At 39.9% G+C, this 23,700-nt stretch overlaps 1 long non-coding RNA gene across 2 annotated transcripts in view, besides 1 other annotated feature; it reads right to left on the bottom strand.

Annotated features, from left to right (window-relative positions):
* TAGAP-AS1 (TAGAP antisense RNA 1) overlaps positions 1-23,700 on the bottom strand; it is a 43,184-nt gene that overhangs the window by 9,886 nt on the left and 9,598 nt on the right. For both annotated transcript variants that reach the window (NR_183546.1, NR_183545.1), the window contains exons 2-3: positions 7,130-7,222; positions 5,941-6,027 (exon numbers count right to left, since the gene is read on the bottom strand). This is a non-coding gene — a long non-coding RNA (TAGAP antisense RNA 1). The remainder of the gene's footprint in view (positions 1-5,940; positions 6,028-7,129; positions 7,223-23,700) is intronic.
* Positions 18,448-18,648: a silencer, noted in NCBI's record as "peak6278 fragment used in MPRA reporter construct". NCBI's record gives its function as "represses an SCP1 promoter by STARR-seq MPRAs in K562 erythroleukemia cells {active_cell/tissue: K562}" and the evidence as "EXISTENCE:reporter gene assay evidence [ECO:0000049][PMID:32103011]".

The raw sequence follows: 23,700 nt of genomic DNA, 5'->3' as shown, positions 1-23,700 counted from the left end.
GACACAACCTAATGACCTCATTTTACCTCTGTAAAGACCCTCTCTCCAAATATAGTCACATTCTGAGATGTTGGGGATTAGGACTTCAACATATGAATTTGGATAGGGCAAGACACAATTCAACCCATAACACCAAGTTTTTCAAAATACTACTTAATGATACCTTGAATATGCCAATAATTTGAATATTTCACCATAACCAGAGAGCTAGGGCTTCTAGTGAGATTTAGATGACAATAAAATGATGCTTTAGTCAAGGATCCAGGAACACCAGAGTTCTGTCCTCTATTGACTTCCTAAGGGCCCACACTAATGACAAATGGGACAATCACAGATGTACCTGATGCAAAGTGTATAGTAAAACCGGGTTGGAAGCCTAATTAGGAGCTCAAACTTAAATTCAGGTCTGATTCCCTGGGAGATGCTCTCTCCTCCGGTAAAGAGGGGGAGAGGTGGATGACCCATGATACACGGATTATCTGTGCTGACACACTGTGCACCATGCCCCCAACCCACACACCAGCACTACTGAGGACTGAAAGAAATTAAAACTTGTTTCAGAAATGTTGACTTGTGTTAGGTGCTTTTGCAGGAGCTTAGCAAAACTAAGATTGCACCAGAACTTGAACGCAACAAATACAACACCTGTGTTACACTGGGGTCCCTAGGAAGTTGAAGTCGCAGCTATGGTTTTTAGCGCTAACAAAACAAATGACAGTTAATGGCCATAGCACATCCTATGGCCATAGATAGAATGTGCAAAGAGCTACAAACACTGTTTATCCTTAGGTTTATCCTAAATTAAAAGTATACATTGATAGATAAATTCTTCTGATCATGATCTCACTGGAAAAATCGCCAATACATGCTTCTCTCTTGAAAGGTCAGACAGAAACTCACATCGGATGCGATCTTACATGTTTCCAGTTTCTTTTTTAATTAAATTATGTAATCTTAACTCTTCCTCTGCAAAAAGAGAATTACTGAGGAATCAGAGGTATAAACGTTTTGCTAGAATTGGAAGTGAATCACTTTTTAGCAATATTTTAAATGTGGACTGAACTTCTGCATTATGTTCACTCCAGAGTAAAAATTAAATGTAAATGAGGAAAAACAAATGGGATGAAGTTCTTCCTCCTACTACAGGCTACAAAGAGGGGGGCATTGTGAAACAAGCAAACTTGCAGAATGCAAAATCTGGCCAGAAATAGGAAATGCAGAATGTTAACATCTCCGTGGAAAAAGAAAGACAACGTGTTGACACAGAATGAATATACGACCCAAATTCACAGAACCTGAGTCTGTGAATACCCCGAAATCTGCTCCCATGCACAGGGCACTAAACCTGTCTGAGCTCCGGTTTCTCCATCTATCAGATGAGGGTAATGATAACTTGCATCAGTTACGGAACGCATGTAACAGAAAACCCAGACAACAGACGCTTAACCAAGAAGGAGGTTTGTGCGCTCTATGAAAAGAACAGACTGGCAGCCCAGGGCTGGGATGAAGGCTCATGGCCTCCTCCGGCCCCGGGTTCCTTCATACTCAGAGCCAGTTGCATGGGGCTATGACCTGTGGACCCAATGCTAGGGTAATTCTCTGCTATTGGCATTTTTAGAGTATTAATAATTGAGAACAGGAGCCTTGCATTTCCACTTTGCACTGGGCCCTGCAAATTATGTAGCCAGTCTTGTGCACAACTTCAACTTTCTAGTCTACCATCCTTTCTGGGAACATGATCCTCTTCCCCCAACCTTTCCCTCCAGATCCCAAGCAGGAACTTTCTGCTCAATAACCTCTACCTCCATCCCAGAGGCCAGAACTTAGTACGTGGCTTCTCTTTTTTTTTTTTTTTTTTTTTTTTTTTTTTGAGACGGAGTCTCACTCTGTTGCCCAAGCTGGAGTGCAGTGGCACGATCTCGGCTCACTGCAACCTCTGCCTCCTGGGTTCAAGCCATTCTCCTGCCTCAGCCTCCCAAGTAGTTGGAAGTACAGGCGCATGCCACCACACCTAGCTAATTTTTTGTATTTTAGTAGAGACGGGGTTTCACCGTGTTGCCCAGGCTGGTCACGAACTCCTGAGCTCAGGCAATCTGCCTGCCTCGGCCTCCCAAAGAGCTGGGATTACAGGCGTGAGCCACCGCACTCGGCCAGTACGTGGCTACTCTTACCAGCAGAGGAACCTAAGAATACAGTTTTTATAGCCAATTGCCTCTCCCAGCAAAATCAGTAAGAAATTAGGAGATGGATACTGCAAGGCCTTGACACAAAAGTCAAATAAAAGAGATCGTAGGTACAACGAAACAAATCCAAATTTAGTTGCTCAATGATTAAAAAGGCAGGATAAAGTAGACTATCTACTTAATATGAGACCATTGAAAATGTTCCATATGATTAGGAATAATAAAAAGATAAGGTAGATAACAGTCTCAAGAGTATTTCAATTATTTGTATGCTCACTGTGAGAATTTTACAATTATACAACAGTAGTTTTAAGCAAAATAAATTAGTAACAAATATTGGCCTCCTACAATATAAAAATATTGCATTTGTATAAGGAATTTACAATCTAGTAGAGAAATAAGACACCTTTGACAGCAAAGGTAAGTTCCAAGTGAGTGATAATAACACAAAATACATAGTAGAAATGAATGGCTGCTTCATGGTCTCATTACTTTAGGATATACTTCACATTTAAAGGAAACTTAAAGATTTCAAACAAGTGCAAGTACAACATTCAAAACAATTGTGGAAGGTTCCAGCTGGATATTCACTTACAGGATTTGGCAATATCTTTGAGAAGTAAATAGTTAGATGTTATTTTTCCATCTTTGCTGAAAAGGGCATTTCTTATCCAAAATTTGTTTTGAAAAACACAAAGCAGTAGATAAGGTAACTGCTGATATACGGGCTGTTCATCTTTCCAAACAACACGTATCTTGTTAGTTTCCTAACCAAGGATTTTCAATGTCTTCTTAACACTATTTTTATTGAGTCTAAAGTCCTCTGCCTACCATCTATCATTCAAGGCCCTTCTTAATTTAGGCCCATCCTAAGTAAGCAAATTCACTTATTTTCTTAACTCTCTAGTGGCTTTCTACCATAAATCATAATTATGACAACAGCTAATTATATATATTAACACCAAGAATCTGAGATATAGCTACAGTGGCGTTCAGATGAAAATTTACATCCTCATATGATTATATTAATAAACAAAAGTAAAAATGAATGAATTCAGCATACCACTTATGGAGCTAGAAAAGGAAATAATAAAAATAAAGTTGAAATTAATAATTTAGAAAACAGAAAAAGAATAAAACTGATAAATACAACCAAAGCTGGCTCTCTGAAAAAATAAATAAAACAAACTTCTGCTTAATCTAAGCAAGGAAAAGGGAGAAATTAAAAACATACAACATGAGAAATGCTAATGGGACAATAACTACAGAAAATTAGAAGAATCAAAAGACTACTTTGCAAATATATTTGAATATTCTATGCAAATATATTTGAAGTACTATATATTATAATACATAATATACATTATATTAATATATATTATATTATATATTGTATTAATATATTTGAATACGCTATGCAACTATATTTGAAATATGAATGAGATTATCATTTTTCTAGGAAGACATAATTTACCAACCTGATTACAAAAAACAGAAAAATCTTAAGCAGATTTATTTCATAGATGAAACAAAGAAACTAGCCAACCACTCTCCCTAATTCCCTAAGTCCAGTTGGTTTCACAGGATTTCTTCCAAATCTTTAAAAAACAGATCATTCCAGTGCTATTTAAACTACCTAGACTATGAAAAAGAAAAAAAAAACTTTTAAATTATCTTGATAAAGCAACTATAACTGCTACCAAAACCCAGTAACAATTTCACATACACAAAAAGGAAAATTACAGATCAGTCTTACAAATATTGATGTAAAAATTATAAAATATTATCTAATAGAATATATGATGACCAAGTGACATTTATTCCAAAATGCAAATATGACTTGATGTAGGAATTATTAATATGATATATCATATTAATAAGTTAGAGGGAAAGTAACATGATTAGATCCATAGATAGTAAGACAAGCCCTATCAAAATTTAATCTCCATTATGAGGTTTTTATTTATTATGTTTTTAAAAATAATACAGATAGGGTCCCACTATGTTGATCAGGCTGGTCTTGAACTCCGGGCCTCAAGCAATCCTCCCATCTCAGCCTCCCAAAGTGCTGAGATTGCAGGTGTGAGCCACTGCACCAGGCCTTTTGAGGTTTTTTAAAAATATATGTAATAAAATAGAAATGAATGAACACAATTTTTAAAAAAATATGTCTATTTCAGACCAAAAGGCAATATCAGACTTAATAAGGAAACACTAGAAACTCCCTTGAAGTCAGAAAAAAGTCTGATTGGCATTATTTCCCTTTATTATCTAACACACTCTGGAGGTACTATCTAAAGCAACCAGACAAGAGAAAGAAATCAGAGAAACAAAAATTGTAGGAGAGGAGGTAAGGCTATGACTATTTACAAATTATATAATTGGATATCTGGAAAATTCATGAGAATCAACTAATAACAAAAATTACTAGAAATAAAACACACTGAGCAAGCAAGGTATAAAATAAATACACAGAAATCAAAAGCCTCTGTACATACTAATAGCTAGAAAATATAGCAAAAGAAAAGGCCCCATGTACGTTCACAAAAAATAGATAGGAACAAAGTTAGCAAAACCAGTCTTTAATAAGATAGAAATCAATGAACACAATTTTTTTAAATATGTCTATCTCAGACCAAAAGACAATATCAGACTTGATAAGGAAACAAAATGTTCCTGCAGGACAAAGGAGTAGAGTTGAATAAATAGAACCACTTATTATATTTTTGGAGAGTAACATAAAAATCATAAAATATGTCAAGTTATCCTACGTTAATTTTTAAACTTAAGGTGATCTTGATTAAAAAAAGAAAGAAAGAAAGGAAAACAGGGAGGGTTTTTTTTATTTTTTTCTTGGTTGTTTTTGTTGCTCACTAGAACTAAAGAAAACTGAATCCACAAATCATATTTAAAAATCAATAAGCCCTAATAGGACAGAGGACACTAGAAAAGAGGAGCAATTATGGAAAACTAGAAACCAGCCCTTCTAGATTTTAAGCGACACTCAACACTTTTGGGAACTGGAGCTTGAATAGACCTACCAAACAGAACAGAGGCAAATGCATACAGGACTTTGGTATGTAAAGCTGGCATTTCAAATCAGTGGGGACTATAGACGATTCAATAAATGGTGTTGGTATAAATGAGTGGCCATTTGGGAAAAAAAAAAAAGAAACATTGGGACCGTATCAACTTATGCTAGGGGAAATTCTGGATACGTGGAAGGTTAAATGTGGGAAGTGAAAGAATCAAAGTTCTAAGAGAAATGAGGAAAAATTCATTTATAATATCAGAGTGGGAAAGCCTTGATAACATGACTTAAAATCCAGAAGACATGAAAGAAAATAATGACAAGTTAAAAACATGAAAATAAAAAACATCTGCATGAGTGAAACACCATAAACAAAGTCAAAAGACAAAGGACAAACTTGGGAAAATATTTGCATCTCATCTAACAGAAACAGAGCTAATTTGGTTTTATTTATTTTCATAGCATTGGGGTACAGGTGGGTTTTGGTTACATGGATGAATTGTACAGTGGTTAAATCTGGGATTTTAGTGGACCCATCGTCACCCAAGTAGTGTACATTGTACCCAACAGGTACTTTTTCATCCCTTACCTCCCTCCTAGCCTCCCCCATTCTGAGTCTCCAATGTCCACAGTACCACTCTGCATGCCTTTGTGAACCCATAGTTTAGCTCCCACTTATCAGTGAGAACATGCACTATTTGGCTTTCTGTTCCTGCGTTAACTCACTTAGGATAAAGGCCTCTAGCTCCATCCATGTTTTGGCAAAGGACACGATTTCATTCTTGGGGCTAACTTCTATAACATATAAAGTTCCTGTAAAAAGATAAGGGAAAGAACAAAACTCAATAAGAAATGTGCAAGGGATACGAACAGCCAATACACAGAAAAAGAAAAGCAAATGGAACTGGGCATGGTGGCTCATGCCTGTCATCCCAGCACTTTAGAAGGCTGAGGTGGGCAGACAGCTTGAGCCCAGAAGCTAAGAGACCAGCCTGAGCAACATAGTGAGACCCACTCTCTATTTTAAAATATGTTTAAAAAAAAAAAAAAGCAAATGGCTCTTTAACTTTTGAAAAGATACACAAGTTCACTCATTTTTTTAAAAAAACTAAACTACACGAAGACACTATTTCTCCCATGAGATAAGCAAAAATCTAAAAGTTTAATAATACACTATGCTGATGTGTACATCTGTTACGTGTAACAGGTGTACATCTAAATGTAGATATACACCTGTGTACATCTGTTCTTAAATGTACTACTAAATATTTTATTTTTGAACCTATTATAAATGAAATTGCTTTTCAATTCATTTTCCAGTGGTTTGCTGCTAAAATATAAGAATAGAATTGGCCAGGCACAGTGGCTCATGTCTGAAATCTCATCCTTTGTGAGGCCAAGGCGGGAGGATCACTTGAGGCCAGGAGTTCGAGACCAGCCTGGTCAACAGAGTGAGACCATCTTGACAAAAATAAAAAATAAGCCGGGTATGGTGGCACATGCCTGTAGTCCCAGAAACTTAGGAGGCTGAGGTGAGAGGATTGCTTGAGCCAAGGAATTTGAGGCTGCAGTGAGCTATAATTGTGCCACTGCACTCCAGCCTAGGTAAACAGAGCAAGACCCTGCCTGTAAAATTTAAAAAAGAAAACAGAATTGATTTTTGTATTTTTAATTTCATATACTTTGCCGTATTTACTTACTACTTGATGTGGTTTGGCTCTTGTGTCCCCACCCAAATCTCATGTTGGATTGTGACCCTGAGTGTTGGAAGTGGGGCCTGGAGGGAGGTGATTGGATCATGGGGGTGGTTTCTAATGGTTTAGCACCATCTCTCCACTGCTATCTCATGATGGAATTCTCATGAGATCTGCTTCTTTTAAAAGTGTGTAGCACCTCCCCTTTCATTCTTTCTTACCTGCCATCATATGAAGATGTGCTGGCTTCCCCTTCACCTTCTGCCATGATTGTAAGTTTTCTGAGGCCTCCCCAGCCATGCCTCCTGTACAGCCTGCAGAATTGTGAGTCAATTAAACCTCTTTTCTTCATAGATTACCCAGTCTCAGATAGTTCTTTATAGCAGTGTGAGAATGGACTAATATAGGAAATTGGTATCAGAGAAGTGGGGCATTGCTACAAAAGATACCTGAAAATGTGGAAGCAGCTTTGGATGGGCAGAGGTTGGAACAGTTTGGAAGGCTCAGAAGAAGACAAGAAGATAAGGGAAAGTTTGGAACTTCCTAGAGACTTGTTGAATGGCTTTGACCAAAATACTGATAGTGAGATATGGACAATGAAGTCCAGGCCAAGGAGGTCTTAGAGGGAGATGAGGAACTTATTGGGAACTGGAGTAAAGGTCATTCTTGCTATGCTTCAGCAAAGAGACTGGTGGCATTGTGCCCCTGCTCTAGGGATCTGTGAAACTTTGAACTTGAGAGAGATTATTTAGAGTATCTGGTGGAAGAAATTTCAAAGCAGCAAAGCATTCAAGAAGTGACCTGGCTGCTTCTAACAGCATATGCTCATATGCATTTCCGAAGAGGTGGTTTGATATTGGAACTTATATTTAAAAGGAAAGCAGAGTATAAAAGCTTGGAAAATTTTCAACCTGCCATGTAGTAGAAAAGAAAAACCTATTTTCTGGGAAGTAATTCAAGCCAGCTGCAGAAATTTACATAAGTAAAAAGGAGCCAAATATTAATAGCCAAGACAATGGGGAAAATCCCTCTAAGACATTTCAGAGACCTTCATAGCAGCCCTTCCTATTACAGGCCCAGAGGCCTAGGAGGGAGAAATGGTTTCGTGGGCCAGGTCCAGGGCCTTACTGCTCTGTGCAGCCTTGGGACATGGTGCCCTGCATCCCAGCTGCTCCCGTTTCAGCCATGGCTAAAAGGGGCCACAGTACAGCTCAGGTCATTGCTTCAGAGGGTGTAAGCCCCAAGTCTTGATGGCTTCCCTATGGTGTTGGGCCTGTGGGTATGCAAAGGGCAAGAGTTGAGACTTGGGAGCCTCTGCCTAGATTTCAGAGGATGTATGGAAACACCCGGATGTCCAGGCAGAAGTCTGCTGCAGGACTGGATCCCTCATGAAGAACCTCTACAAGGGCAGTGTGAAGGTGAAATGTGGGGTTGGAGCTCCCACCAAGTTCCCACTGGGGCACTGCCTAATGGAGCTGTGAGAAGAGAGCCACCATCTTCCAGACCCCAGGATGATAGATCCACTGACAGCATGCACTGTTCGCCTGAAAAAGCTGCAGGCACTCAATCCCAGCCCATGAAAGTAGCTTTGGGGGTTGTACCCTGCAAAGCCACAGAGGCAGAGCTGCCCAAGGCCTTGGGAGCCCACCCCTTGCATCAGTGTGCCTTGGATGTGAGACATGGAGTCAAAGGAGAGTATTTTGGAGCTTGGAGATTAAATGACTGCCTTCCTGGGTTTTGCTTGCAAGAGGCCTATAGCCCCTTTGTTTTGGCCAATTTCTCCCTTTTGGAATGGGAGCATTTACTCGATGCCTGTACCTGCACTGTATCTTGGAACTAACTAACTTGTTTCTTTATTTTACAGGCTCATAGGCAGAGGAGTAGTACTTGCCTTGTCTCAGATGAGACTTTGGACTGGGACTTTTGAGTTAATTCTGGAACGAGTTAAGAATTTGGAGGATTCTTGGGAAGGCATAATTGTTTTTTGAAACGTGAAAAGGACATGACATTTGGTAAAGGCCAGGTGCAAAATGATATGGTTTGGTTCTGTGTACTTACCCAAATCTCATGTTGAATTGTGATACTGAGTGTTGGAGGTGGGGCCTGGTGAAAGGTGAATCATAAGGGTGGTTTCTAGTGGTTTAGCACCATCCTTCTAGTGCTGTCTTGTGATGGAATTCTCATGAGACCTGCTTCTTTTAAAAGTGTGTAGCACCTCCGCCTTCGTTCTGTCTCTCACCTGCCACCATGTGAAGACGTGCTGGCATCCCTGTCACCTTCTGCCATGATTGTAAGTTTCCTGAGGCCTCCCCAGCCATGCCTCCTGTACAGCCTGTGGAACTGTGGGTCAATTAAGACTCTTTTCTTCAAAGATGACCCAGTTTCAGGTAGTTCTTTATAGCAGTGTGAGAATGGAATAATATACTACTTCTAATTATTTTTTAGATCCTTAGGATGTAGAAAACAATCATATGTAAACAATCGTATTGCCTGCAAATAAGGACGATTTTGCTTCCTTCTTTCCAATCTTTATCATTTTATCATTCTTTATTGCAGTGGCTAGAAGCTCCAATTCAATATTGAGTAGAAGTGGTAAAAAAAATGAGCACATTTGCCTTTTTTCTGAGTTTGGTAGAATATCATTTAATATTTCACCATTAAGTATAATGCTCACCGTAGGTTTTTCATAGATGCTTTTTATGAAGTTGAAGAAGTCCTTCATAGTCAGTTTGGTGAGAATTTTTCTTATAAATGGATATCAAATTTTGTCATATTTTTTATCTACATATGAAAATGATCAGATGGTTTTTCTCCTTTATTCTGTTAATATGGTGAGTTATATTGATTTTCTAATGTTAAACAAACCTTGAATTCCTGGGATAAAACTAATTGGTTATGCTGTATTATTTTATTATTTGCTTTATGTTTGTCTCCTCTGCTGTTAGTCCCTCTTGTTCTCCCTTTCCTATATTCTTTTGGATTAAGTGAATATTTTTATAATTTCATTTTAACTTACCTATTGGTCTTTTAGTCTTTTGCATGATTTCTTAGAAGCTCCTCTAGAGACTATAATATAATCCCTTAACTTCTCAGTCTACTGGCAATTTTACTGGTCCATTTACCCTCCCCGGCCACACCACCAACACTGCCACCATCTTTTATGCCATAGCTGCCATAAAATCTATCTACATGTGATATAAACCTTAAGTCAATATTATGTCCTTTATACAGTTGTGCATATGTGAAAGAAATTAAGAGGAAAATTGGTCTTTGATGTTTACTCCAATATTTATAATTTTTTATGCTTTTTATTCCTTTTCTCATATCATCTCCCTTCAGTCTGTACAACTTTCTTTAGCTTCTGGAAGTGCAGGTCTTCTGGTGATGAATTCTCTTAGTTTTCTGATATCTGAAGATGTCTTCATTTTGCTTTCATTCTTGAAGGGTATTTTTGCTAGACAGAGATTTCTAAGCTGACAGTTTTTTCTTTAAGCACTTCAACAATTTCATTCGACTGTCCCTGACTTCTATAATTTCTGCTGAGAAGTCCACAACCATTGAAATCATTATTCTCCTATATATAAAATGTGTCATTTTTATTTACGCTTTTAAGATTCCTCTTTGTTTTTTGTTTGTTTTCAGTAGTTTGACTATGATGTGTCTAGTTTGTTTTTCTTTGTATTTATCCCATTTGGGATTCACAAAGCTTATCCAATCAGAAAATGTAAACATCTTATTAAATTTAGGATGTTTTCAGCCACTATTTTTTCAAATATTTGCCATCCCATTCTTTTTCTCCTCTCTTCCTGATATTTTAACTATCCATAATATCAGTTTTTTTTATATTGTGCCACACATTCCTGAGGCTCTCTATGTTTCTCACTCCCTTCCCCCGCCCCCCTCCTCCTCTCCTCCTCCTTTAGATGGGACAATTTCTATTGCTCTATCTTCAAATTCACTGGTTCTTTCCTCTCTATCTCCATTATGCTATTAGAGCCCATCCAGCAATTTTTTTTTCATGTATTGTATTTGTCAGTTCTAAAATTTCCCCTTTTTGTATATTTTCTTTATATATTTTCCATTTCTTTCCTAAAAGTTCCTATCTTCTCATTTATTAGGAGCATTTTTTTCACTCTATTGAGCACAATAGCTGCTTTAAATTCCTTGACTAATAGTTTCAACATTTCGGTCATCTGAAATTGACCTCTTTTTATTAACTTCTTTGTTGCCAATACATCACATTTTCCTGGTCCTTCATATTTTGAGTAGTTTTGGACATGGTGGATGTTTCATAAGTCAAGACTCTAAATTCTGTTGTATTCATTCCAAGGCTGTTGATACTTTGTTTTAACAAGCAATTGACTTGGTTACACTGAAGGCTGTAAACTCCATGTCTCTCATGGTGAGTGGCCATTCAAATCTCAATTCAGTACTCCAAACCTTAGCTGCAAGTGGCTTTGAATCTGGTTTGTGTGCATGTGGTTCACGGGTCAGCTAGAGACTTGGGCAGAGTTCAGATACAGCATTTGGGTGCCCCCTTCTCTGGCTCTGTCCTCTCTGGGATTTCTCCCTCACTCTCGTGGCCATGATTGCCCCAGGCTCCAGCCCCTGGTTCCCTAGACCAGAAACATGGCAGTCTTTCTATGGGAGTTTTAGCCACCCCCAGACACTTTGTGACCAGGGCCCATCTTTTGGACAAGGCTGAAAAACAGGAAACTCACACTCTCCTCCAAGATTCAACTCCCCTCTGCCTGCATTTGCTCACTTCCCAGGTCTCTTAAGTAGTTACTTTTGGTAGTTTGTCCAGTTTATAGTTGCTATATTTGTGGCAGGGTTGGTCTGTTAGGAGTCTACTCCACCATACCACAGGGTGTGTGTCTCCTTCACCACTGTATCTGCACCATTGAGTTCAGCGTCCTCACCACAATGAGCTGGTGTCCATGGCTCCCAATAGGCTTATTTCAAGGATAAAATTGATCATATCTAAGAAAAGTACTTTAGCATGTTAAATGTACTGTCAAATGTAAGGAGGCATTTAGATATGTGTAGAAACTGGTCAGCTTCCAAAAATGCAAATACATCCCAAATAAATGTTAAGAACAATATACTAAAGTCTTAAGAAACCAGAAACATGTTGGCCAGGCGCGGTGGCTCACGCCTTTAATCCCAGCACTTTGGGAGGCCAAGGCAGGTGGATCACGAGGTCAGGAGATCGAGACTATCCTGGCTAACACGGTGAAACCCCGTCTCTACTAAAAATACAAAAAAATTAGCCAGGCGTGGTGGCGGGCGCCTATAGTCCCAGCTACTAGGGAGGCTGAGCCAGGAAAATGGCGTGAACCCAGGAGGTGGAGCTTGCAGTGAGCCGAGATCGCGCCACTGCACTCTAGCCTGGGTGACAAAGCGAGACTCTGTCTCGAAAAAAAAAAAAAAAAAGAAACCAGAAACATTTCAAGCGGGGGCAACATTTCAAGCGGGGGCACCTCACTGTTAGGTGATGGGGCAACCATCTGGTCATTTCATTCATGATCCCAGTTATTTTCATCTGTAGCAAAAAGTTACAGGATTTTCATTGTTACTAGAAATGAGAAAAAGTATATATATATATATATATATATATATATATATACACACACACACACACACACACACACACATATATATCTGTGATTTCTGGCAAATGTATAGGTGGTATTACACTTGAATTATATCCATATCGTTCCTAAGAATAATTTTATATGCCAAGAGTTAAGATGCCTAAATTCTTTAAAAAGAACAGCAAACATCCACAGGCCTCGGAGCACATTGAGATGCATACAATCTAAATGTATTCCTTTCAGGATTTTGATTGTAAAAAAATTCAACAGCTCCCTCAAAGATAGAGATTATTTATTCAACAAACATTATGGCAGATTCAAGTAGCAAAACAGTCTGTAAATTTGGGCATGTAGACCCAAAAAAGATCCTCTCTCAAACTGCTAACCTGGTGTTGCTAAATGAAACAGTTCTTGCCGAAGAATTTTCACAGGTGTTCATTTGCATCCATGAAATTCCTCTCGTTACATCAGTTTTTAAACAGGTTGTTTGCATCAAGTTTCAAGAGTAATTTGTGAACATTGCTGTCTGACTATCCATCCCCATAGCAGAGATAGTAACTTCTTAAAATTTCCAGTTATTCCTAGAGATTAAAGAGTTGGAAAATAAAAAAGTAAAATTTAAATTACAATCTACTGGTCTAAGCCTATATCTTCAAATGGCCAGGCTTATAAAATGTCTTCTTATTTAATATCCTTGTCTCAGCTGTCTTCCCCACGCAATTTTTTTTAAACAGTCTCAATCTGGCACCTACTGCAGCCTCAACCTCCTGGGCTCAGGTAATTCTCCAATCTCAGCCTGCTGAGTAGCTGGGACTACAGGAGTCCACTACCAGGCCCGGCTACTTTTATTGTATTTTTTATACAGACAGGGTTTCGCCATGTTGCCTAGGCTGGTCTTGAACTCCTGGGCCCAAAGTGCTAGGATTACAGGCATGCGCCACCTCCTCATGCAATTTGAGCAGTATATACAGTTGGAAGCCTCACATTCCAAACCCCACCTTCATCATGTTTCCCAAAATTTTCAAATCCCACCCTTTCACCTGGTCTTTCAGACCTTCCCCTAGAGCAGTAGTACCCAGTACCCGGTTCGTGGCCCAGGCATCAGGGACCCCTGCCCTAGGTTACATCTATTTGTTCTTGGAGTCACTGCCACAGCCACTGTCATTATTCCCTGACGTGGCCCCTCACGGGCTTGTGCTGATGCATGCAAGCCAGCCCTCCATCACTGACCCCACATGCTGTTACTCTGGAGCAGCTCCCACACACATGCAAAGCTGATGTACACCTGGGACTTCGTTCATTCCAGTTCCCTACCTACAATGTCTACACAGTCCACACACCCTGCCACCGGACCTTCGCAGCCATGCAGACACCTCAGCTCAAGAATTACCTCTGACACCTAAAGAACTCACAGACCCCACCTCCCTCCCTTTCTCTTTTGTACCCCACATTTTAATATCTACCATTTTTTCCTGTTTCTCTCCTCCCAGTAGACTATAACTTCCTTAAGGGTGAGAAATGGGTCTCCTTTCTCTTTGTATTCTCCAGAACTAAAAAAACTTCCTGGCACATGTTAAACATTTCACTACATGTTTGTTGAATTAATAAAAGAATAAAGAAATAAATGAACTTCTACTCTTTAATTCAACCAAGAAAATATAACAGTGGTCCCCTACATGTAATTTATCACTTACTCCTCAGCTTTATATAAAACTTTCTCCAAACTAGAATCACTCAACTTCTTTCCACCACTTCCTTCGAAATGCACCAACTTCAAATGCTCCATAATTTAACCCTTCCCCTTTGATCCTTCTTTTCTGCCATATTCCAGATTCCACACTCCTCAGGAGCAGGCTTAAGGCCTTATCTTTCTCATATTTTAAGTGTTTGCTTAGTTCCTTTTTGTGCCAGGTACTTACTATAACTAGATGGGAAAAGGTTTTTTGATTGTTTTCTTGTTTTTAATTTATCATGTAATTTTCACAACTTCACAAGATGAATATTAATACGCATGATTTAATAGATGAGAAGACTAAGTAACTTGCCCAAGGTCACACAGCTAATGAAAGATGGAGCTGACATTTTAACATAAGGCTACTGTATTCTGAAGACATGCTCTTTTCTTTTTCTCCATCCCAGCATAGGGGAAAGGGGACAAATATTCTAGGCTGGATACTTAGTTTATGTTCTTTCTGTAACAGATCTGTTATATTTTAAAACAGGAAATATTTTTTAAACCACAGAATAAGTTCAGCAAAATAAGTGAAGCTTATCTTTGATCAGAGATAAAGGCAAAGAAACCCCTGGCTTCAAATTAAAACCCCATATATGCAAATGTAATTTTATGACCCAAGACTATTTTTTCCTGAGTTTTTTAACTTTAAAACACCAAAGCACAGTGGCTACAGAAGGAAGGTACTTAAGGAGCTGCACCAAGGAATGAAATCGTATTATCACAGGCCTTAATACAACAGGCCAAATTCATTTCGAAAAAATGTATTCAAGTCTTAGACCCTGTGAAAAAACAACTCTTATTTTCAAGAATAGAAACAGCTAGGGGTTTTTTACATCTTCTTACAAGAAATTTCCATCCATTGGCTTTAAATTTTACTTTTCATTCAAAAGCACAGCATGTTTTTATATTGAAAACTTCCTAGGAAAATGAGAGCCATTTTCTCACACTCTGAATCATGGTTTTGCTCTGACTAGGTAAATAGCATGCACCCTCAAACTCTTGCTAGAGAGAGTCACTGAAACCTTTTAGGTTAAAAGGAAATGATTGGTAAATAGCTTTTCTCAATCTGAGTTCTTCTGTAGGAAATGGAAAAACAGAGAACCTACAATTCTAAATAGTAGCATCAGACTCAAATAACAACTTTGTGGGAAAACAAGGATCGATTTGAAAGCTGGGCTCCTTCAGGTCAGACTCAGATTTTGAGGGGCTCTGTGTTTTTATAATTTTGGAGGCTCTCTACAAGAAAAAGAAGGCAAACTTACAAATGCAAATTTAATCATAAACACAAATATGTATCTAGAACAAAAAAACATAAAGCATAAATTTAATAACGCTGACAAATACAGCAAACAAAATTTTTCACCAAAATATGAAATAACATTTTTACTAACTGCCTGGGACATTTCGGTAGTGCTCCCTTTCCTATCTTTTTTAGTTGCATGCTCTTTTAAAACACTTTTTTCCTAAAAAATAAAGATTTAAAATTATTTTCTCTAGTGAGAATAAAAGTTGTTTTTCCTTTAATTTGGCTAAAATTTGGAGTTCTTTCCAACATTAATAGTTTAGAATAATTTATTTCAGCTTCTCAACTCATTGATAATGTCATGTAAATTGTTAGAATTATTGACAAATTTGGAGAAATCTCTGCCAAGTGTTTTTCATATAGGAGCTATAAAATCTGGAAAAATACCTGCAGACTGCTGGTTCTATATATTTCAAATGTTCCTCTACTACCTACATACTGCCAATGTTAGGCTCTGCAAAAAGTGTTCTTCTCGTAGCACACGTCACAAGCCTGGTGAGTAGGCACAGTGGTCAGTAGGACTATCTTTGAAAGCCCCTCCCACCCCAGGATAGTTATGAATAACTTACCTACTTAAGGAAGTGATTGCAAAGCACATAAGTAAATCCCATTGCTATGGCCTGAATGTTTGGGTTCCCTCAAGATTCCTAGGTTGAAATCCTAACCCCTAAGGTGATGCTACTAAGGGGTGGTGCATTTGGGGGGGTGATGAGGTCATGAGGCTGGGGCCCTCATGAGTGGGATTAGTGCCCTATGGAAGAGGCCTGAGAAAGACCCCTCACCTCTTCCACCACATGAGGACATTAAGAGAGAAAGTGCCATTTGTAACCAGGAAAGGGGCCCTCATCAGACACCAAATCTGCTGGTGCTATGATCTTGGACTTCCCAGCCTCCAGAACTGTGAGAAATAAATTTCTGTTGTTATAAGCCATCCAGTTTATGGGATTTTGCTATAGCAGCTGAAATGGATTAAGACATTCACTGAAATCAAACTAAATATATCCATAAGTCAGCTTTCCCTTAGCCTAGTCCTAAAATCCCCATGACCACTCCAGGGCCATTCAACGAGGTAAGTCAGCATGAAAAGAGACATGATTGTGGTTGAAATATTTTTTGTGGCCAGGTATGGTGGCTCATGCCTGTAACCCTAGCACTTCAGGAGGCCAAAGTAGGAGGATTACTTGAGCCCAGAAGTTTGAGGCCAGCCTGGGCAACATAAGGGAGATGCTTTCTCTACAAAATAAATAAATAAATAAATTAGCCAGGCATGGTGGTATGCTCCTGTGGCCCCAGATACTCAGGAGGCTGAGGTGGGAGGATTGCATGAGCCCAGGGAGTTTAAAGCTGCAATTAACTATGATCACACCACCGCACTCCAGCCTGGGTGACAGAGCAAGACTCTGTCTCTGTCTCTCTCTCTGTCTCTCTCTCTCTCTCTCATATAGATGGATAGATAGATTATATATATATAGTACTCTATATATATATTATCTATATATAGGTGATATATAATCTATATATTATAGATATAATATATATATCCATATATAGATATTTTAAAATATATATATGTATATCTTAAAGTACTGACATCTTCCACCACCACTCGTAATCACAGCCACAGGCTGTAAACCACACTGTGGAGAATGGAGGCAAAGTGCAGCTCACCAGGCCCCAGCGCCAGATACTGGATTCCGGGATTCTGTGTGTGTCTGCATAGATGCATGCATTTGCCTCTCCCAACACTGAGGAAGACTCCCCCTGTTACACACTGGGAGCCGGACTCAGAGCTACTCCCCAGCGGAGTGGGACCCAGGGCAGGTGCTCTTTCTACTTCCCATGGTGGCTTTTCCAGCCTTCTTTTCCTCACCATAATAAGGGTGACACATACTCATTAGAGAAAACGTTTTCAGTAGATGGGATTTTTTTAATTACCTGTAGTCACATTACCTAGACACAACCATGGAAAGATTTTGGCATATTTTCATGTTTTTACGGAACAAAGAAATTGAAAACATTAAATTAAATCAAATCTATTTTTCTCATTATTAAAGAAATATATGTTCCCTGTCAAAAATATGAAAAGTATAAAAAACCTTAAAACCATCTGTATTTGTTGGCGAGGGCTGTCATAACAAAGTGCCACAGACTGCATGGTTTAACAACAGACATTTTTTGTCTCACAGTTCTGAAGGCCAGAAGTGCAAGATCAAGGTGTTGGCAGGGCTGGTTGGTTCCTTCTGAGGGCTGTGAGGGAAGGGTCTGTTCCACACCTCCCAGCTAGCTTCTGGTGTTTTACTGGCAATCTCTGGCATCCCTTGGTTGACAGAACATTACACTGACCTCTCCCTTCATCTTCACATGGTGTCCTCCCAGTGTGCAAATCTGTATCCAAATTTCCCCTTCTTATAAGGACACTGGTTTTATTAGATTTGAGGCCCACCCCACTCCAGTATGACCTCATTCTAACTTAAGTAATTAACACACGATTTCCAAATAGTCACATTCTGAGGTAGTGGGGGTTAGAACTTCAACATATGAATTTGGAAGGGGGTGGCGGGACACAGTTCAACACAGAACACCATCCCAAATCCTATGAGCCAAAGAAAACCGATGTTAACAAGTTATTACCAGGTCGTTTTGGAAAGTATGGCCAGAAATTCTTTTGCTACTCTGCTGATTGAGGTTGGGGTCTGTGTCCCCCTTTCTCTGAATCTGGGCAAGCTGGTGACTGCTCCGCTCAGTAATCCTAGTATTCAAGTCATGACAACCCAGGCACCAGGCAGGGCAATGAAAGAGCTTCCAGATGCTTCCAGCCCCCAGCTACCAAGTCATTGCCAGCTTGAGTCTTACTGAGCTGAGGTCTCAGACACCAGGGAATAAAGACAAACCCTCCCTCCTGTGCCCTGTTGAAATTCCAGATCCACAGAACCCTTGAGCACAATAAATGCATGTTGTTTGTGATGGTTAATTTTATGTCTAGACCACAAGATGCCTGAATAGATAAACCTTATTCTGGGTATGTCTGTAAAGGTGTTTGGATGAGATTAACACTGGAATCATAGACTGAGTAAAGCAGATTGCTTTCCCCAGTGTTCCTTCCCCAGTCCATTGCAGGCCAGAACAAAAGGCCTGGAAAGGTAGAACTTGCTCCCTCTGCCTGACTACTTGAGCTGGGACATCAGTCTTCTCCTGCCCTCAAATTGGGGCTTACACCATCAAGTGCCCCTGGTTCTCAGGCCATTCGACTCAGCCTGGAACTGTACCACCAGCTTTCCCGGGTCTCCGGCTTGCAGATGGCAGACTATGGGACTTCTCATCTTCCACAATCCATGAGCCAATTCCTCATAATAAATTCCCTATAATAAAGGTCTTATAATGTATGTATTTATACACTATTGGCTTTGTTTCTGAAGGTTCCAAATACATTGTTCAAGTCAGTAATTTCAGAGGTGGGCGGAGGGCTAATTACCCAGCAATAGTTATACTGTAATATTTCTAGTCAGAAATATTTTCTTATATTATTATAATTCTTAGTCTTTTTTCTGTGCCTTTAAAAATATTTCTCTTACTAAAGTGAGTCACTAACTTCTTAGATCAAAAGGAAATGATAATTTCTCTGATTCTGAGATTTACTTTAAAAAATATAAAAAACAGGTCAGCCTCACTTCTAAATATTTGCATTATATGAACATAATGAATATACTGAGTCCAGCCATAGGTAACACAGGGACATTCACAAGTCCCAGGTGGAGGACAGTATGAACTGAAGCTTTCTGACAACGTGGCTGCTTAGACCTTTTACTATTCCTTCCTAGTTAAAAGTCAGAGAAATCAGGTAACCATTGAAGTCTTAAAGATGCAGACAACAGCTGGGCACAGTGGCTCACGCCTGTAATCCCAGCACTTTGGGAGACTAAGGTGGAAGGATTACTTGAGTCCAGGATTTCAAGAGCAGACCCAGGGCAACAAAGCCAGACTGTCTCAAAAAAAAAAAAAAAAAAAGACATAGAAAACATGTGAAGCTCTTGGTGATGCTAATGATGAATACGATGCACTACACAGCTCTGGTTTTGAGGAAGAGGAAGTGTTTGGTTCTTCTCGGCATTGGCTCTCAACCATGTAAATAGTTTGGCCAATATTACAGACCCTGGAGCCAAATCAGTTTCATGTGGTCATCAATCATGACATTTCTTCTGAAACATGAGGTAAAGCATGTGATGCAAGAAATCCACTTTCCGGGAAATGACGGAGACCTTAAGAGGAGCAGCTCAAGGAGGTTCTTGCAGGCCAAACCACAGCCCGTGGCCACAGAACTGACCAGACCACATGGAGGCCAATCAAATACCTGTGTGTGGGTCCAGCATGAACAATGCTGGTCTTAAAGTGGATCATGATCTCCTCATTACTGAGATCTTCATTTTGACCACTCTTTTGAGTAGCAGATCTTTGAGATGTGTTAATGAAAGGACGGGAAGGTCTATGGTACCAGGCCTTGCAAATCTGAAAGTATATGCTGTTGCCTTGAAAGACAACAGACTTAGTTGGGCATGAGGTTGTTCCCAACATTTCCCCCTGAAAACTCTACTACGTGTGGTTTCATTGTCTTCTGATCTTGGGTGTTGCAAAAAATAAAAAAATTAAAAAATTTTAAAAAAAAGCCTATGGCCAGAGAGATTTTTGTTCCTGCATAGGAAACTTACTTTTTTCTATCTGAATGCTCATATGGTCTATTTCTTATATCTTTGTAATGTGAAAATGTTGTCATTCTTTTTTCTTGGAATGCAGTGGATTCTTTTTTTTTTTTTTTTTTTTTTTTTGAGATGGAGCCTCGCTCTGTTACCCAGGCTGGAGTGCAGTGGTGCAATCTCGGCTCACTGCAACCTCCACCTCCTGGGTTCGAGCAATTCTCTCCTGCCTCAGCCTCTCATGCAGCTGGGATTACAGGCACACGCCACCACACCTAGCTAATTTTTGTATTTTTAGTAGAGACAGGGTTTCTCCACGTTGGCCAGGCTGGTCTCAAACTCCTGACCTCAAGCAATCTGCCTGCCTCAGCCTCCCAAAGTGTTAGGATTACAGGCATGAGCCCCTGCGCCCAGCCCTGTGGTGGATTCTTTTGATCTTCATCTTCAAGTTCTTTTCAGCACAAGAAACACTTGTTTAATTAGGTCTTTGGTTGTTGCTTCTATTTTCCCATAGGAATACCTAAGATTCTTGCGTTGACTCATTCTTCCCTCCCCTAGATAGCTCTCATCTCCCACACTCGGCCAATATTTTTAATCCTTTTCTCTGCATTCTGGCAACATACGTTAGGTGGTTCTTCACATCCCTCATTTGACATTCAACAGCATTCTCTCTATGTGGATGTGAATGCTATTATTCATCTTTAATTGCTTTTTAATCACTTATCTCTTGATATTCCCTGCCTCATACTCTGATTCAGACACATTGAACTTCTCTCAATTCCTCAACATTCTAGGGTTTTGTTTTTGTATTTGCTTTTGGAGGCAGGGTCTCCCTCTGTTACCCAGGCTGGAGTGCAGCGACATAATCACAGCACACTGCAGCCTCTACCTCCCAGGTTCAATCGATCCTCTGGCCTCAGCCTCCCAAGCAGCTGGGACTACAGCTGCGTGTCACCACACTCAGCAAATTTTTGTATTTTTTTGTAAAGATGGGGTTTCACCATGTTGCCCAGTCTGGTCTCAAACTTCTGGGCTCAAGCAATTCTCCTGCCTTGGCCTCCCAAAGTGCTGGGATTACAGGCATGAGCCACTGGGCCTGGACAACATCTTGGGTTTTTTCTCACCTCTAGGGCTTCACACACGGCATTCTTTGGTCATAAACACTCTCCACCACCATGTCATTTCATTTGGCAAACTCCTACATCTTCATATGCTCTGAGCTCCAGCTTTCATGTAGGAAGCTTGCCACGACCGCCAAGGATGGCTCGGAGTCCTCGTGCTTCTATTGTGCCCTGCCAACCCTATTATCACACATTTCACACTGAATTGGAAATGCCAGTTCCCTTGTCTGGTACCTCACTAGATTCTGAGAGGACAAGAATCATGGCAATTTTATTCATCATTATATCCTCAGCCCCGAGCGCCATTGCTGGCATGTGGTAAGCATTAAAAAATATTTTTGCCTATAATATCAGTCTTTTTCAATCACATCCGTCTTTTTGCATCTTAAGAATTCTCTGCATGGCTTTATTCAAAGGTGGTACCAAACAGCATCTTTAGGGATACCAATGAGTTTCATTTTTAGAGCTCTGTCTTCCTCTGATTATTCAAATGTGTGTTCCCTTCCTCCTACTTGACAGCATTTTTTCGCAGATTTTATGTTTCTCCTCACCTCCTCCTCCAATGAATAGAACAGATCCAGACCTGGTGCCCACCAACAGACACACATCATATTGTCCTCGGCCTCACTTTCTATCTACCTGGGTGCCTGTCAATCTCCTCTTCAAGCTAAAAAACAGACTGCAATGTCCAGCTCCCAGCTCCCTCCCATTTCCAGCTACTGTGCTCCTCTAGACAGAAATGGGACATGCCCTGTCCTACTGCCATGGGTATTTAGTTAGAATTGGAAGAAATTCCAACTTCAGTCAATGCCACTTTAAACCAGGAGTCCCCAGCCCTGTCATTTTAAATGAATCCCAGGAACAATGACAGAATTTTGATAATTTTGGCAGGTGTTCTTAGAACACACTTTAGAAGTCTTATTTATGTCCTATATATTAGAGTTTCATCTTAAACCAGCCTTGTATAAAAAATTTTGTAATCCTGTTAATGTCTTTGTTTTCTGCCTCTATAATTAAGAACTTACCTTTGACGTTTGGAGCACTGACCCTGTTTCTCTGGAGTCTTTTCCTCCTGAATGGGCCACTCCCAGCTTTTTCTTGAATAAACTTTTTTTTTTTTTTTTTTTTTGAGACAGAGTCTCGCTCTGTCGCCCAGGCTGGAGTGCAATGGCGAGATCTGAGCTCACTGCAAGCTCTGCCTCCCGGGTGCACGCCATTCTCCTGCCTCAGCCTCCTGAGTAGCTAGGACTACAGGCACCCGCCACCATGCCTGGCTAATTTTTAAACTATTTAAAACTGGAAAAAAAATTAAAATAGAAAAATTAGCTGGGCATAGTGGCAACTACCTGTAGTATCAGCTATTCTGGAGGCTGAGGCCAGTGGATGGCTTGATCCCAGGAGGTTAAGACTGCAGTGAGTCATGATTTTGCATCACTACACTCCAGCCTGGGTGACAGAGTGAGACCCTGTCAGGAAGGGAAGGGAAGAAGAAGGGAAGGGAAGGGAAAAAGAAAGAGAGAGAAAAGAAAGAAAGAAAAGAAAGAAAGAGAGAGCGAGAGGGAGGGAAGGAAGGAAGGAAGGAGGGAAGGAAGGAAGGAAGGAAGGAGGGAAGGAAGGAAGGAAGGAAGGAAGGAAGGAAGGAAGGAAGGCAGGCAGGCAGGCAGGCAGGCAGGCGGGCGGGCGGACGGGCAGGCAGGCAAAGACATGCAGACTCAAGGATATTAAACTGTTTCAGAGCATGTGAGTTTTATTTTTCAAAACTGGAAGGTCAGCATTAACTGACAATGGCACTCATAAATTCAAAATTCTTATTCTCTTCATCAAAATCAAGGTAATTCTACGTCTACTTCTCCAGCCCCAGCTTCTCACCTTCTCAAGCTATAGGATGTTGTCATGCAGGTGCCCTACAATCACAATATCAAAATGTTCCCCCACAAGGTAGGGGAGGTAAGTTTGGGCCAAAGAGAATAAAGGCACCAGACAGAAGCAAAGGGGAATGAAGGGTACACATGCTGCCGTCATTCCAATCTCTGATTCCAGCAATGCCTAAAGCCCACCCACAATGCTGCCATCCCTGAAGGCACAGGAACCACCCCATAAACTTCAAAACATGCCCTTCTGCCAAGCAAATTCAAATTGGATTTCTCCCTTATGCAACCGGGGGTTCTCACTAATACAACTGCTTTACATAATACCTATATTGCTGTAAAGTTCGGTATAAATAATTTTTATAAAATTTTTTAAATCTTATATTTACATAGCACTTCATAATTTTCTAAATTGTTACACACATTATCTCTTTTGGTATGCAAAAATAATTGCTTGAGATGGCCAGAACAGCATTTACT

The sequence above is a fragment of the Homo sapiens genome, chromosome 6 (genome assembly GCF_000001405.40).
Source record: "Homo sapiens chromosome 6, GRCh38.p14 Primary Assembly".
NCBI classification, from domain to species: Eukaryota; Metazoa; Chordata; class Mammalia; order Primates; family Hominidae; genus Homo; species Homo sapiens.
Note: the sequence above shows the minus strand (reverse complement) of the source record. Positions and strands in the feature narration are given on the sequence as shown.